This window comes from Homo sapiens, chromosome 20 (genome assembly GCF_000001405.40).
Source record: "Homo sapiens chromosome 20, GRCh38.p14 Primary Assembly".
Classification (NCBI taxonomy): domain Eukaryota; kingdom Metazoa; phylum Chordata; class Mammalia; order Primates; family Hominidae; genus Homo; species Homo sapiens.
The window spans coordinates 48,698,215-48,713,929 of NC_000020.11; the positions used below are offsets into that span (position 1 = coordinate 48,698,215).

The 15,715-nt window shown below is 50.3% G+C and overlaps 1 protein-coding gene across 4 annotated transcripts in view, besides 4 other annotated features; it reads right to left on the reverse strand.

Annotated features, from left to right (window-relative positions):
- Nucleotides 1-15,715, reverse strand: part of PREX1 (phosphatidylinositol-3,4,5-trisphosphate dependent Rac exchange factor 1) — a 263,934-nt gene that overhangs the window by 73,963 nt on the left and 174,256 nt on the right. For all 4 annotated transcript variants that reach the window (XM_047440333.1, NM_020820.4, XM_047440332.1 and 1 more), the window contains 2 exons: nucleotides 10,046-10,207; nucleotides 2,539-2,672 (listed from right to left, as the gene is read on the reverse strand). In XM_047440333.1, coding sequence (XP_047296289.1) covers nucleotides 2,539-2,672; nucleotides 10,046-10,207 — 296 coding nt within the window. The remainder of the gene's footprint in view (nucleotides 1-2,538; nucleotides 2,673-10,045; nucleotides 10,208-15,715) is intronic.
- Nucleotides 4,862-5,362: an enhancer, noted in NCBI's record as "H3K4me1 hESC enhancer chr20:47319614-47320114 (GRCh37/hg19 assembly coordinates)". NCBI's record gives its function as "activates a minimal SCP1, AML or CMV promoter by ChIP-STARR-seq in primed H9 embryonic stem cells {active_cell/tissue: H9 hESC(primed)}" and the evidence as "EXISTENCE:reporter gene assay evidence [ECO:0000049][PMID:30033119]".
- Nucleotides 9,432-9,601: an enhancer, noted in NCBI's record as "experimental_60606 CRE fragment used in MPRA reporter constructs". NCBI's record gives its function as "activates a minimal promoter by MPRAs in K562 erythroleukemia cells, with activity observed for both the introgressed and non-introgressed 20:47324269 variant alleles {active_cell/tissue: K562}" and the evidence as "EXISTENCE:reporter gene assay evidence [ECO:0000049][PMID:34662402]".
- Nucleotides 14,579-14,688: an enhancer, noted in NCBI's record as "active region_18025". NCBI's record gives its function as "activates an Ori minimal core promoter by ATAC-STARR-seq in GM12878 lymphoblastoid cells {active_cell/tissue: GM12878}" and the evidence as "EXISTENCE:reporter gene assay evidence [ECO:0000049][PMID:35858748]".
- Nucleotides 14,729-14,778: an enhancer, noted in NCBI's record as "active region_18026". NCBI's record gives its function as "activates an Ori minimal core promoter by ATAC-STARR-seq in GM12878 lymphoblastoid cells {active_cell/tissue: GM12878}" and the evidence as "EXISTENCE:reporter gene assay evidence [ECO:0000049][PMID:35858748]".

The following is a 15,715-nucleotide window of genomic DNA, read 5'->3' on the forward strand; positions in this document are numbered from 1 at the left end:
CAGGGAGCCCACTTGGAATCCAGTATCAGAATCAGCTGCTGTCCCTGCACAGGTGAGACGGCCCCAGAGGAGGCAGAGCCTGCACCCGGAAGCCAAAGGTTGAGTAAACTCATCTAAAAGTTGGGAGCAGGTCACAGAGGCCTAAAGGGACGTTCTGTTTTCCAAACCCCAGTGTTCTGGGAAAAGTGCCTGCTCCAGACTGCTTGGGGCAGAGCGGCGGGGCAGGGCTCAGGGTGGACATTGGCAGCAGCCCTGAAACTACCCAAGAAGGACTCTGAGGACAGCCCCAGAGAGACCAGAAAGGAGGCAGGGAAAGAGAAGAAGGGGGCGTTCATGAGGGGACAGCAGGACGTGAGATAGACAGACCTCAAGGAGTGGGCGAGAATGAAGGAGCAAATGAGAAAGAGCCATGCTGAGCCAGCCACTGGGAGATAGCGGAAGCAGGAGGTCCAGGCCCTCACAGGAAGGGTCAAGCCCAGAACAGGGGGGAAAGGGCAATGGGGAAGGGCCTGTGGTTTCAGAGCCTCCTGTGCACCAGGTGCTGTACCTGTGCGACCACACCAGAGCCAAGTTAACAACAATGGTGCTGGCAGCTACTGTGCTGTGCACTCACTATGTCCCAGGCACACTCACATATCTGATCTTCCGTGGTCCTAAGAGGTACATACGATCATTCACTCTGTTTTACGGATGAGGAAACTGAGGCACAGAGAGGCAAAGTCACAGAGCTACAAAAGAGGTTAAACGGGGATCCAATGGCGGGCCTAGCTCTTAACCAAACACTACTACAAGGAGGGGCTGATCGTCTCACTTTACAGAAGAGAAAACAAAGGCTCAGGGAGGCCCTCTAGAGGAGGAGGACAGTGGGAAGCCCACACACGGGCATGGAGCATCCATTACTCATCCAGTGGTAAGGTTTCTCACCACACCTTAGGAGGCCAGCACAGACAGACAAGGAAACTGAGGCTCAGAGACGGTCAGTGGCATGGCCTAGGACACAAAGCAAGTTACAGGAAAATGCTGAAAGTAGGGCCTAAGACCTGGACCTCAGGCCTCAGCTCTAGTCTTTGCTAGACAGAGGAGTTAAGAAGCCTCTGGAACATCACTATTTTGTTCCTAAGACAAAGTAACAGCAAAGAGAATTTGAAAAGTGCTGCAGGGGTCAGCTGAGACCATCCTATACCTGCTGAACATGAAAACTTAAGGTCAGGAATCTCTCTGTGCCAATCCACCCACCCACCCATGCATCCAACCATCAGTTCCCACCAGCTACTACAGTCATCCAACCCCCACATCCATCTCCTAATTTCCCCTCTCTCCAATCATTCACCCATCCATTCACTCAGTAGTCCAACTGTCCCACTTTCCCTCCCAGAGCCCAACCACTTCGGCAACTATCAACCAACCACTTACCCATCCATCAACATGCCAACCAATTGGCCATCCATCTACTAATCTCCAAACCTCCGTCACCAACCCACCTTCCCAATTATATAACCACCCAGCCTTCCATCCATCTATCCATTCACTCAACACACCATACCTGAAGGCCCCAATCTACCATTCATCTAGACACATATCTGCCAGTCTTCATATCCATTTCTCTAACTGCCTGAATATCCACACATGCCCCCAGCTTTCCATCTATTCCTCCATCCAGCCATCTCCTAAACCTCCAAGCATTCAAACACTCATTCACTCACACACACGTCAATTCCAACATCCGTCCACATTCCTTCCTTCCCTCCCTGCCTCCTTCTACCATCCATTCACCTCCCAAACCCCCAGCCATCTGCGCCTCATCCCGTGTGCCCACACAACCCGTCACCACACTTCCCATCACACATGCACCTGCCTCCATCTACCTACTCAGCCAACCATCTACTTACTCCTAGACTCTACAGAGCGCAAGAAGCACCAGTGAAAGACACAAAGAAGGTGAAGAAACTATCCTGACCCTCCAAAAACTGAATAGTGAAAGAGCTTCGCTCCTCTTGAACCCTCAACTTTTAGAGCTTAGAATTACAGGATGTGGGTGTCACAAAGAACCTCTCAGTTTCCACAGTCATCTAGACCTGTGCTATCCAATATGGTAGCCACGAGCCACAGGTAGCTACTGGGCACTCCAAACGTACCCACGACAAATTTAGGTGTTTTGTGAGTATAACATACACACCAGATTTTGAGAACTTAGTGTTAAAAAACAACACAAAATATCTCTTTAATAATTTTTTTAAATAATAATTACATGTATAATTATAATTGAATAAAATATTCTCATATTTGGGGATCTATTAGGTTAACTAAAATATATTATTTAAATTCATTTTACCTGTTTCTTTTTACTTTTTTAAATGTGGCTACTAGAACATTTAACATAACACGTGGCTTGCATTGTATTCCTACTAGACAGCACTGATGTAGAACAAACCCCTCAACTCACAGGAAAGGGAGGCCCAGAGAGGGAAGTGACAAGCCCAAGGCATCACCTGGAGAAGGCAGCAGGCCAGACCCCATCCCAGCCTCCTGGCCACTCACCTGGATTTCCGCTTGCAGTAGACGAGAAGGTTGTCGAAGAGGAAGAAGGCCCTTTCCTGGATGTTGCCCGCAGAGATCTTTAACAAAGTCCCTTGCAGGAGGAGCTGAGTGCAGATGTCTGTGAGGTTGGAACCCTGGAAGCGCAATGAGGACACAGTGAATGAGCCAACCCAGGAACATCCCCTTCCTTTCCCAGAGACAGAACCTACTACCACCTCCTGCCACATGCCAAAAACTCCACCAGCAAGTCTGTCAATGGACAGAAAATCAACACAACGTGATTAGTGGCTTCTATCTGCTGAGCATGCCATGAAAATCCTGGGGAGGGCACACTGATATGACCGCATGTCCCTTTTACAGGAGAGGGACTTGGGGCTCAGGGAGGAGTGACTCACCCAGCTCATACAGGTAATAGTAGGTCCTAGTCAACATCTGGGTATATTTTGGTTCAGTTTTTGGTTTTTGGGTTTATTTTTTTTAAACGGAATTTCACTCGTTGCCCAGGCTGGAGTGCAATGGCGCGATCTCGGCTCCCTGCAACCTCCGCCGCTTGGGTTCAAGGGATTCTTCCTGCCTCAGCCTCCCGAGTAGCTGGGATTACAGGCATGCGCCACCATGCCCAGCTAATTTTGTATTTTTTTAGAAGAGACAGGGTTTCACCACGTTGGTCAGGCTGGTCTTGAACTCCTGACCTCAGGTGATCCAACCGCCTCAGCTTCCCAAAGTGTAGGGATTACAGACATGAGCCACCACGCCTGGCCTCGTTCAGTTTTTATTGTGGGTTTTTTTTTCACCTATTCCTTCCCCACTACTTATTTATGTCTTGACTTGTTACTATATCTCCCCCACCTAAATGCCCCTTTGGTAAGGACAGGGCCCGAATCAACTATGTGCCCTACGTATGCCCAGCACCCACAACACTCTCTGGCACACAGTAGGTGCTCAACAAATGCAATGTGCAAACCATCGGGGGCAGGATCCTGTGGGCATTTCATCTAGCTAAGCTAAAGATTTACACGTCAATCCCAAACCTGGTCACCTATGTTGAGCAGCAGGGGAAGGGGTGACAAAGACGTGCATGAAGTTCACTGAATGTCAGTGAGGTTCCGGGCAGCGTGGCTGGGAAAGGCATCAGGGAGGAGTGAGCAGACCTTGGAAGACAAAAATTAAGATAAAGAGGCTGGCCGGGCGCAGTGGTTCATGCCTGTAATCCTTTGGGAGGTTGAGGCAGGAGGATTACCTGAGGTCAGAAGTTCAAGACCAGCCTGGCAACATGGTGAAACCCCATCTCTACAAAAATACAAAAATTAGCCAGGCATGATGGCAGATGCCTGTAATCCCAGCTACTCGGGAGGCTGAGGCAGAGAATCGCTTGAACCCGGGAGGCAAAGGTTGCAGTGAGCTGAGATAACGCCACTGAACTCCAGCCTGGGCGACTGAGCAGGACTCTGTCTAAAAAAAAAAAAAAAAAAGATAAAGAGGCTGAGGGCAGGGATGGGAAGGTCCTAGCTGGGAGGGATCCTTAGAGCCTGGGATCACACAGGTCTCCCTGAAACCAAGAGGACCCAGGCAAGGGCAGAGAGATCCCAAAGTCCAAAGAGAGAAGAAAAGAGACCTTGGTGGGCACAGAATGCCAAATGAGGCAGCCCCTCCGCTGACCCTCAATCCACGTCCCTCTTCTGTGATTTTGGGGAATGGAGTCTTCCCTGGTACTTGGCTGCCCAGCCACAGACTACATCTCCCAGCCCCCCTTGTGCCAGGTGTGGTCACATGACTAAGTCATCACCAATGTGCCTCCCTGCCAGGGCACATCCTCGAAAGAAAATGGCTTTCCTCCCTTTCCTCTTTCCAGAGGCTGGGGTGGTGGGATACACTGCAGCGGGTGGTGGGATACACTGCAGCAGATGGTGGGGCAAGGAGCTGGAGGGAACCTGGGTCCTGGCAGAGCAAAGCTGCCCACCCCAGTCTGACTGTCCGCCTCTGCACTGCTAATGAGAACAGCGTTGCAACGCTAATGAGCCACCTCCCTGAGGCCGCTGCATCGCTTCCTTACAGCAGTCAACCACAGACTTTAATTAATACAATAAGGTACAGACAACAGGGTGCCACGGACATTTAGGCCCAAGGAATATTATGCAAAAGCAGTGTTTTAAGGGAGTTTCACGTGACAGACCAGCAGATTACACTGAACAAAGAAACAAGAAGTGATGTTGTCCCTGCCTGGAAATGAACTTGGGGAGGAGAGAGGGAGAATTATTCACAAAATCTCCTTCCCCAAACAGTCAACACCCAGAACCAACATGGAGCTCCTACCCCACTGGGACCTGCTGACTGAATTCTTTCTGAGACCCAGTAAGGAGAACTGGTTCCGGCAGCTGAGAAGCCAGGCTGTCTGCTAACGGCCTACAAGGGGCTCTCTCGCTGCTGTTAGGGCTGGTCTGCTCTGTGTCCGTGGTCCAGTTGGGTACAACAAACCCATTCACTCAACAGTGCCAGAGACCCCTCTGGAGACTGGGGAAGCAGCTTCCTTGTGGTCGAGAGCTGTGCAGCCGGGACAGGAGCCTGCATTCGTTATCACACATCACGGCCTTCGGCTTGGCTGGGGGCCAGGTGGGCATGGATGCTGGCATGCCCACAGGCAGATCTCAGCTTTCCAGTGAGGTAGCAGCCTGCCGCACCAAGACTCAGGGCTGTCATGAGGAAGAGCCCCTGGGACCCCCAGCATCCTCGCGAACTCCCTGGGGCTTCATCATGGCCCATGCGCAGCACACGGCAGACAACCGGTTCAGCAGTCCCTGGAGCCCACGTGCCTCCCCTTCCTTTTGCCTTGGCTCCCTTATGCCCACCCACCAGCTCTTCCAGGCTCCAAAGGGGAAGTTGAAGAAGAATCTGGTACCTGGCCCAGCTGCCAAGCCCCAAGATCACACAGCCCTAGAACCCTGCTGCCAAGTCCGTCTCGGGGGACCTAGGAGAGGAAGTCCGCCAGCCTGGGAAGCTGCCTCTCCAGCCTTGGCCAAGCACCACCTGGCAAACTGCAGCTGAAATGCCGAGCACACTACAGGGGGATACCCCCTCCACCCCAGCCCTGCTGAGAAGCCCAGCCGCACTCTTGATCTCCCTGAAATCCTTGAATCTAGGTCAAGGGTGGTGCTAGGGGTTGGATGCACAGGGAAGAGGCTGAGCACCAAGACATGTGGACCAGTCAGGACTAGAGACCTCCTTCCTTCCAGACATGCACACTCAGCCACGCTGGAGATGACAAAACCTTACACACTCAAAGCCAATACATGCGTAGGGGCGGCCACATGCCACGCACTGTTCTAAATATCTTGTACAAACTCAGCTAATCCTCAGGACAATTCTCATTTTACAGATGAGGAGACCGAGGCACAGCGTGGTGAAGTGACTTGTTCATGGTCACATAGGTGGTAAGGCAGTGAGGTGGAACTTGAACCCAGACAAGCAGCCTCCACTCCCCCGACCTGCTCACCTCTAACTCAGGCCGCTCTTCGAAGACAACCTGAAGATTTTTCTTTGCAATCGATAGTCTAGAGCAGGAGTCTCCAAGGGGAGAGACCATGTCCCACTGGGAGCCCAAAGCACTCCAGGGAGGGTAGGAAAAAAATATGAGAGCTTTTGTATTGATTTTGTTTCCTCACTCCTGTTTCCTTCTCTCCCCTTGTGGGTGAGGGCGAGTGAGCAGTTGATCATCTCTTAAACCAGGGCTGCCAGAGCCAGAGCCAGAGCCAGAAAATGGAGTGCCTTCCTTCCTTCCTTTCCTTCCTTCCTTTCCTTCCTTCCTTCCTCCCTCCCTCTCTTTTTTTTTGATGGAGTCTAGCTCTGTCGACCAGGCTGGAGTGCAGTGGTGTGATCTCAGCTCACTGCAACCACCTCCCAGGTTCAAGCGATTCTCCTGCCGCAGTCTCCCGAGTAACTGGGATTACAGGCATGCTCCACCACACCTGGCTAATTTTTGTATGTTTAATAGAGAAGGGGTTTCACCGTGTTGGCCAGGCTGGTCTCAAACTCCTGGCCTCAGGTGATCCACCTGCCTCGGCCTCCCACAGTGCTAGGATTACAGGTGTGAGCCACCGCGCCAGGCTTGTTTCTTTCTTCTTAAGAGTACACATTTCCTTTTTTATCACTGTGAGCTTCACATGGAAGTCCATGCGGCTGCATCTGGAGTGTGCCTCTGAGGAGGCGCAGCCCACGCTGGGCACAAGTTCCAGTCAAAGCTCTTGGATACTTTTTCCATCTAAAAAAATAAATAAATAAAGAGATCCCACTTTGCTGCCAGGGCTCCTCCTGACATGTATTGGGCGTTTTCTCTGAGCCAGGCACTGCCGAGGACTCTGTAAGCATCAACTCCCCCGTCCTCAAGTGACCCATGACGGGGGTACTCCCATGATCCTGACTTCGCAGATGAGGAAACTGAGGCAAAGGAATCTCTCCCCACGGAGGGGGTTGTCTCATTCACTCACTTGCAAGGTATTGTGACACACTGCCATTTCCTTGTGCTCAGCAAAATGGATTCGTGGATTCACTTATCTGGTTTTATCTAAACCAGTCTCACGACAAACAGTGGCTCACAAAGGATCAGGGGGTAAAAAACACACATATGGGAGATCAAATTCATGAATGATGCAACCTCAAGCACACAGCAAGAAAGTGGCCAAAACAAGACTCCTCTTGCTCCAAAAACAAGCCCCTTGTCAGACATCTTTCAAGAGAGAGATGACAGCTATCTGATCAGATCAGCAAGAGGTCACACAGAAAGATGGGAAAGGATCAAAAGAATATGTCAAATAAAGATGTGCAATCGCATCATTAACATGAACTACCCCCTAAGGCATGCTGTCCTCAGAGACTGTAACTACTAACAGATAGCATGGAAGCAACTCCACTATTAGACGTCATTTTTTCTAGCTAGAACGTATTATTTTCACAAGTCACCTTGAGGAACAAACTGCATTTTAAAAACCTTTCTACTTCATAGAAAACAATTTCACGTTTTTCAAAGGACATTCATATTCCACACCTCACTTTATCTTCCAAATGAAACCAAAAAAATAACTTCAGAGATATTATCACTAAAATTAAACAAATAGGAGAAAATAAGGCACACCAGGCAGGACAAACTTACTCGAGGCAGGGCAAACTTACTCGAGACAGGGCAGTCTATAAGTTACAGGGCTGGGCCTCAAAACCAAGTCCCTGTGCCTCAGCTGCCTCATCTGTAAAATGGGGATAATAGCACCTCCCTTGTAGGGTTGGAAGCTTGTAACAGGTACTAAATAACTGCCAACAATTCTTATTTTAAGGCACTTTATTTCCTATTGCATCCAGCAACACTGGCCACTGAGGGCCACTGAGTTCTCAAACTGTACATGTTTAGGGTCATAAAGGGTTTTAGAGACCCTTGGTTTCCATTTGCCTAGGCCCTTACCAGAAAAAAGGCATCTGGAAATCACTTCTGCTGCAGCTGCTGAGGAGCTTGCTCAATACCCTCTCCTTTGGGGCCCATGTGAGAAATTTCTTTTCCAACTGAGTGCCAGGAAACTCTCTGTCTCCCAGAAGAACTGCTCTGCTTCTTCCTTTTCTGACAATATTAGGTAACTTATGTATGTTGCTCTTTTCACCTTGGCTTCCAGGAAACTCAAAACCCATATAGACAGATGTTTAAATTAGTCACCTCTATTTGCTCTTGAAGTTCAAAGTGGCCATGTGACCCATTTCTGGCCAATGCAATGAAAGGGGACACCTGTATGGGGCTTCTAGAAAAGGTTTTCCTCCACCAGGGAAGAGATCTCCCCACTAACTACCCTGGCCATGCCCCTGTCTCCTCCGGTTTTGAACACATGGTGCCTGGAGCTGCCGCCTTCATGGAAGCATGAGAGAAAGAAGAGGCTCACCAGAGACCAAATCAGAGCTCTGACATCACAAGGCTGAGATGAGAGTCTTCGAGGATGCATCCTAACTGACGCACCTGAGGATCAGGCAACTTTCAGATGCAGGAAACAGAAACCAAGCCACGTACTTTTAAGCAAAAAGGAATGAGGGGCTTTACTTATTCACTGAAGGGGCTAGAGGAGCCAGGAATCCAGGCCGAGGGCCCCAGGAAACCAGCCACAATGCAGAACTCACCCACCAGGGGAGCCACTGCCCCTGCCCCAGGTGGGAAAGGAGAATCAGAACATCACCTGTCCAAGCTCAGGCTCCAGGAAAAGGCTCCTCAGGTGGCATCAAGGATTCAGTAGTTGTTGCCTCAACTGTTAACTGCAAAGCCATCCCATGGCTGCTACCCCACCAACAATAAAAAAGGAAAGCCTAGGCCATGCATCTGACGCACAGGAAGCTGGCGCCCGGGCCCTCTTCTAACGTTACCACGGAAAGCCAAACACAACCATGGCTGTGCTTTGCTGCAAAAATAGCACAAGGGGTGGCCTCCACCCCACTTCCACCTTCCAAATCTCAAGCAGCTGGATCTGATCTTGGCCAGACCCCAAATCATATCCCAAACTGAAGCCGGGAAATAGAGCTCTTCACTCTCCAGCCTCGGCTGGGCAGGAAGGCCCAGCAGAAAGAGCGCAGGGGACATGGCAAGTGGATTGACCAATCCACAATATCCACCCCTCCCTGAATGCAGCCCCTCTCCTCTCTGCAGCCAAACCCGTAACCTCACAGCAATACAGCCTCACATTTAGGATTCCCCAGCACGGAGAAAAGAACTAGAAATCTCAAATATGGCAAGTGACTCCAAAGGCCAGAAAATCCAAAGGGCCTACGGCATATGATTCACGTAACAATCTCTGCCCAAGAGACTTTCATCTTCCCTCTTAATCTCCTGTTCCAGCTGTATTTACTCTGATATGGATTTTTTTCATTTATTCATATTTTCCCATTTCCTTCTACGGATTCACAGGAAACCTCTAATAATCTAAGGAAGGCAAGGGGGCTTAAATCCAATGATCTCAAGAACCCCATCCCCTAATAATCATGATAGTAATACTAACAGCTACCATTTATTGAGTACCTACTATGTACCAGGTACAGATGAGGATACTGAAGTTCAGAGAAGTGATGACATTTGCCTAAAGTCACCCAGCAAAGGAGTGTCAAAGCCAGAATTCTGTCCTGGAGTGGACACTAGAACCCGACCCTTGACGTTGGCATCAACAGCTCAAAGGCCTCCACATACCAGGCAATGCATGAAAGAGAAGGGGTGGGGAGATAACAGGGGGTGGTGGGGACTGAAGGAAACTAGAGGCTCCAGTGACTATTTCCATGAGATATAGGGGCCCAGTGTCACCAAGTTTTTAAGAGAAACTTGAAATGCAAATTTGTATTTGGATTTAATTGAAAAATAATTAAGCAATCTTTTGCAAACACTGTAGGCCAAACAAAATACATTGCAGACTGACAGGTGCCCAGGCCTCAGTTCATGACTGCACCTGTGCACCTCCTGGCCCCCTGCGGCCCAGGAAGCCCCCTCCTGTCCTGTACACACCTCCCAGCCTTCGATGTGGGACTGCAGCTGCTCCAGGGCTTCCAGCTTCTCCATCTGCCGCTTGGTCTCATTGATGTTGGAGCAAACGGTCTTCATGGCCTGCAGGGCACTCTGGACCGCGGGGTGGTCTGGGTGCTTGCCGGGAGTCCTCTTGGCCAGCTCCTGGGGTAGAATAGAGGTGGGGAGAAGAAAGCAAGACATCAATCAATCCAGAGGAGACCCAGGCCAGAGCTGAACCCAAGAAAACAGACAAAAACTCCTCGCCTGGTGGACATTACATTCTAGTAAAGGAGATGAGCCAAAGCAAAGAAAACTCAGGTATGGAATCCAATGTCAAGCAGTGGTAAACACTAGAAAGACAAATCAGAATGAGGGAGAGGGAAGCATTGTTTCACAAGGAGGTCAGGGGAGGCCTCTCTCTGGAGGTGATGTTTGAGCAGAGGCCCTGGACAGAGCAAGAGAGAGAGCCCTGCAAAAACCCGAGGGGAGAGCCTGCCGGGCAGGGGGCACCGTGGTGCGAAGGGTCTGAGGCGGGCACATGTCTGGTATGTAATGAGGAACAGAAAGGAGGCAGTGTGTCTGGGGTGGAATAAACGAGAGAGAGAAAAACAGAGAGATCCGCGGTCACAGAGGCGGCCCCAACACTGCTCCTCCCCAGGCCCGGTTTTCTTATCATAAGATGGGCATAAAAAATACCCCACCTTCACAAGGATATGGGACTGAGCAAATGAAGTGGCTCTTAATCCATGAGAAGCCCCCTGCCCCCACCGTTTCCCACTGCCAGCTCACCCCTCAACTCAGACGCAGGCTGGGACATTGCAAAGGCCAGGCCAGTCTTAATCGAACATTCCAGCCAGTAAATGTGATGGGAGAGGAACTGAGGAGGAAGGGATCAGCTGGGACTTGAGATATCAAGGAAGATTTTTCAGGCCAAATTACCCAAATCACCCAACCGCCCCCGTCAGTCTTTCATCCCGAACTGTGCTGGCAGAGATAATTTTCTTTAATCATCTGACCCAGAAACACGCCCAATAGCTCCAGTCTCTCCCCTATGCCCTAGCTCTCTGCTCCCTCGACGATCCAGATAACATCCCCGCAGATGTGACACTCTTGCATCGTAGTTACGAGCACAAATGTAGGTTCAAGGGCTGACTCTGCCCCTCACTGTCTGGGTGACCTTGGGCCAGTCCCCTCTCTATCCCGGGCCTCGGCTTCATCATCTGCAAACCTGTGATGATGAGGATGATGGTGATGACGATGACAGCAATTAATGTCTACTGAGCCTTCGCCCCACGGTTTTAAGGTGGCTTCTGTTATTAGACCATTTAACAGATGGGCGGACTGAGGCACAGCAAGAAAGCCTAAGGCCTCGAAGAAGTACAAGGAGGAACTGGGATTTGAACCCAGGCTGCCTGGTGCTGCTCATGGTTGTGGTAAGCAATAAATGAGGTACTGTAGGAAAAGCACCAAGTACATATATAGTAAGCACTCAATATATGCGAGCCATTAGCATTCTCCTTGCTGTATGACAACACGCTAGCTGTAACTGTGAGCAGCAATTTGCCACAAAAGGGTATTGTTCTGAGCACTCCCTGGAGTAAACCAACTTCAAACACATCCCTTCTTCATTCACTTATTTTCTTCCCTGTCCGAAAACAAACATCCTATTTTCTGAAGACCAGGTCCTAAGATTCCCAAGGCCCAGCTGGTCTGCATCATCAGGCCCCTGGGACTTTGCTGAGCTCTTGCCACGCACCCAGGCAATGTGCCCAAAGGATGCAAAAGAAGGGAGATGGAGCCCTGCTCTTCCTCTGGAGGCCCCAGCAATGAGGCTGGAAAGGCACTTCCCTGGGGGCTTGAGAAAGGCCCAGAGAGCAGCACCATATCCTGAAAATGCTGGTGATCAATCAAAAGAGAAGCAAGCCCAGAAGGCTTCAGGAGGAAGCAACACAAAGGCAGGCAGGGCACCCAGGGCCAGCTCTGCTAATGCGGAGTGTATTTCGACTCATTCTTCACTCAGCAAATACTGGCTGAGCAACTGGTGTGAGCCTGAGCTGTGGAGGCTGGGCAAAGAACAAGATGGTCCTCTGGGAGCTCATGGTCAAGAGTAGACCGGTCAACAAGGTAATGACTATTACTACTACCAACAGTAACAACAGCTAATACTCAGCAAGCCCTCAAGCTCCTGTCAAGCTCATTTGATCCTCATGTCAACTCTCTATCAGGTAGGCACCATTATTCTTCTCGATTGGCAGATGCAAGACCTGAGGCACAGAGAGGTCAGACCGTTTGTCCAAGGTCACACAGCACATCTGAGCCCACCCAGTCTGACTCCAGAGTTTGTGCTCTAAATCCCCGTGCTATTTACGACTTTTCAGACAGTTAAGTACAAATACTTTCCTCTCAAATAAATATATAATTTATAGAATTAAAGGGACAATGAGTGAGGGAAGTGCCGTGGTCTGAGAAGGTCTCTCTGGAAAGACAGGCTTGCGAGCGAAGCTTGAATGAGGTGAGGCCACGGGCCACACTGCGTCTGCAGGAACAGCACTCCAGGAAGGAGAAGAGCACGTGCAAAGGCCCTGAGGCAGCGAGAAGCAGCAGGGAGGCCAGCGGAGCTGCAGCAGAGCAAGTGAGCGAGAGGGATGGACCACAGATTCAGACAAGCATGCCAAGGCCAGATCACATGAGGCCGCAGTGGGGTGTTTGGGTTTCCTCCCAAGAGCCATGGGGAGGTGATGGGGGTATGAGCAGAGGCCTGACACCACCTTCTCACCCTTTAAAGGACCTCCCTGGCTGCTGACAGGAGGATGCACGGGATGGAATGTGCAGTGAATATAAAGTGGGAAGACCAGTTATGGCTACTGCCAAAGTCCAGGCAAGAGCAGAGGGTGGCACAGAAGCTCTGTGCCTCATTCACTCCATGCATGCATGTATCCACTCAGCCAGGCTCCAGTGTACCTGGCCCCATGTTGGGCTCTCTGTTGTACACAGATGACGGCAGACACTCCCCTAAGCCATCAGCCTGCTTGTAGGCATGTCCACAAAGTTACAATATAAGACCGTGATCTTATGACCATATTCAGTAATTCCATTCGATCCTGCAAAGCTACCCCAGTCCCAGGTTCCCTGAAGTGGTTTTTGGCATCTGGACCTTTGTGAGGCCAGCCGAGGCCAGGGAGTGAATGTGGCCAGTCAGCTCCCGGTGGGCAGGGACAGAGGCTGCCAGTTAGTGAGACCCCCGCCCCAGGTTCTACCCATCATCCCTTTCATCCAAAGCAGGGGTCAAATGACAGTCCAAGGACTGAGTCCAACCCATCACCCGTTTTTGTAAAAAAAAGTTTTGTCGGAACCAAGTATCCTCATTTCACTGATATATTGTCAGTGGTTGCTTTTACACTACAATGACAGATTGTATGGACCCCAAGGCCTAAACTATTTACTATCTGATCCTTTAATGGAAAAGTTTGCTGGCCCTTTGTTAAAAGCAACAGAACTGATTCTTAGCTGAGCATGAGGGCACCTGGAATAAAGGCCACACGCCCAGTCTGCCTGGACACAAGGTTCTCATGGATGGGGCGCGAGCAGAAGTGCCGGGTGCAGTTTCCCTTCTCCTTTCCCTCTTCCTTGGCTGGAATGTGGGCATGGTGCGAGCACCTGAAACCCTGGTGGTGAGGGGCACACCTCAGGGTTGGCAGAACTTGGTGCTGTCAGCATGGAGCCACCATGCTGCCCTGGACTGCCTTGACAGAAATAAGCTTAGACGTTGTTTAAGCCACTCTTGTTTCAGAGCTATGTCACTGCAGCTAAAACATATCCTATTACAAAAGACCCCACCGTGTTGTGGCACTTGGGATAAATTCACCATGAAACTGTGTTCTTCCTTCTGCTGGCTCTGTTAAGCTTGGCCATCAGTGAAATTACTTTGCCTCCCAATGGCCCTAGCAGGCAGGTGCTTTTACTATCCCCACTTGACAGATGAGAAAGTTGAGGCTCACACAGAGGCAAGGTCCCCTACCCAAGGGCACGGACAGCTAAGCGGCTACACGGTCCAGCTCCAGAGCTCACATTTCTGAATCACTATTCTGTGATTCTCCAGCCTGAGGCCCTGGGCCTCTTCCCACCTCCCCCAACAAATAGGAAGCTCTCACCACTTTTATTCTTGAAGCTAAAACCTGATGGGTCCATGGCACCCCTCTGATGGGCACTGCCACCATATCTGCTCCTCCCAAACCCTGGAAGTTGGAATCTCAGTGACCCTCCTCCAGTGGTTCCCTGTGGGGCTGCCAACACCCAGTAGTTAGTAAAAGTGAAAAAAAGGCTGCTTCCCTTTTCTATCTGTCCGCCTCTATCTCTATTCTTGCTCTAGGTCAGTGGTAGGGGTAGGGAATTGAAACCAAGCAAGACCTGGCCAGGCCCATAGCTGGACCAAAACCGCAGGGGAAGTGTTAGCTTTGGTGTCTTGGTTCACGGGGCATGTTGGCTCCACTCTGTGGAGCTCCAAAAAATGAGGGCCCATTCCTGCCTCCAGGCCTTTGGACTTGCTGTTTCCTCTCCCGGCACACTCCTCAAGATCTCAAGAAGTAACGGCCACAGTGGCTCACGCCTGTAATCTCAACACTTTGGGAGGCCCAGGCAGGCAGATCACGAGGTCAGGAGTTCGAGACCAGCCTGGCCAGCATGGTGAAACCCCGTCTCTATTAAAAATACAAAAATTAGCCGGGCGTGGCGGCACGTGCCTGTAGTCCCAGCTACTTGGGAGGCTGAGGGAGGAGAATCAGTTGAACCTGGGAGGCGGAGGTTGCAGTGAGCCAAAGGTTGCGGTGAGCCAAGATTGCGCCACTGCACTCCAGCCTGGGTGACAGAGCAAGACTCCATCTTAAAAAAAAGAAAAAAGAAGAAATAACACAAGCCAGGCATGGTGGCTCACGCCTGTGATCCCAGCACTTTGGGAAGCCAAGGCGGGCGGATCACCTGAGGTAAGGACTTCAAGACCAGCCTAGCCAACATGGCAAAACCCCATCTCTACTAAAAATATAAAAATTAGCCAGGCATGGTGGTGCACACCTGTAATCTCAGCTACTTGGGAGGCTGAGGCAGGAGAATCGCTTGAACCCGGGAGGCAGAGGTTGCAGTGAGCCAAGATTAAGCCCCTGCACTCCAGCCTGGGCAACAGAGTGAGACTCCATCATAAAAAAAGAGGCAACATAGTACTGTATAAAGATAGGCCTAGAGATCAATGGAAAAGAATTGTAGGCGGTGGCCAGCAGTTCAAGACCAGCCTGGGCAACACAGAAGGACACCATCTTTACCAAAAAATTTTAAAAACTTAGCCAGACACAGTGATGTGCACCTGTAGTTCCAGCTTTTGGAAGGCTGAGGTGGGAGGATCACTTGGGCCCAGGAGCTCCAGGTTACAGTGAGTTATAATCGGGCCACTGCACTCCAGCCTGAGTGACAGAACGAACCTGTCTCTATTATCTCTTTTAAAAAAAAAAAAGAGAGAGAGAGATAGGTTGATAGGTGCAGCAAACCACCATGGCACATGTAGACATATGTAACAAAGCTGCACATTCTGCACATGTATCCCAGAACTATAAAAAAAAAAAAAAAAAAAGAAAATCAAAAGTAAAAATCAATGCATATCAAAAAAAATTGAGAGTCCAGAAA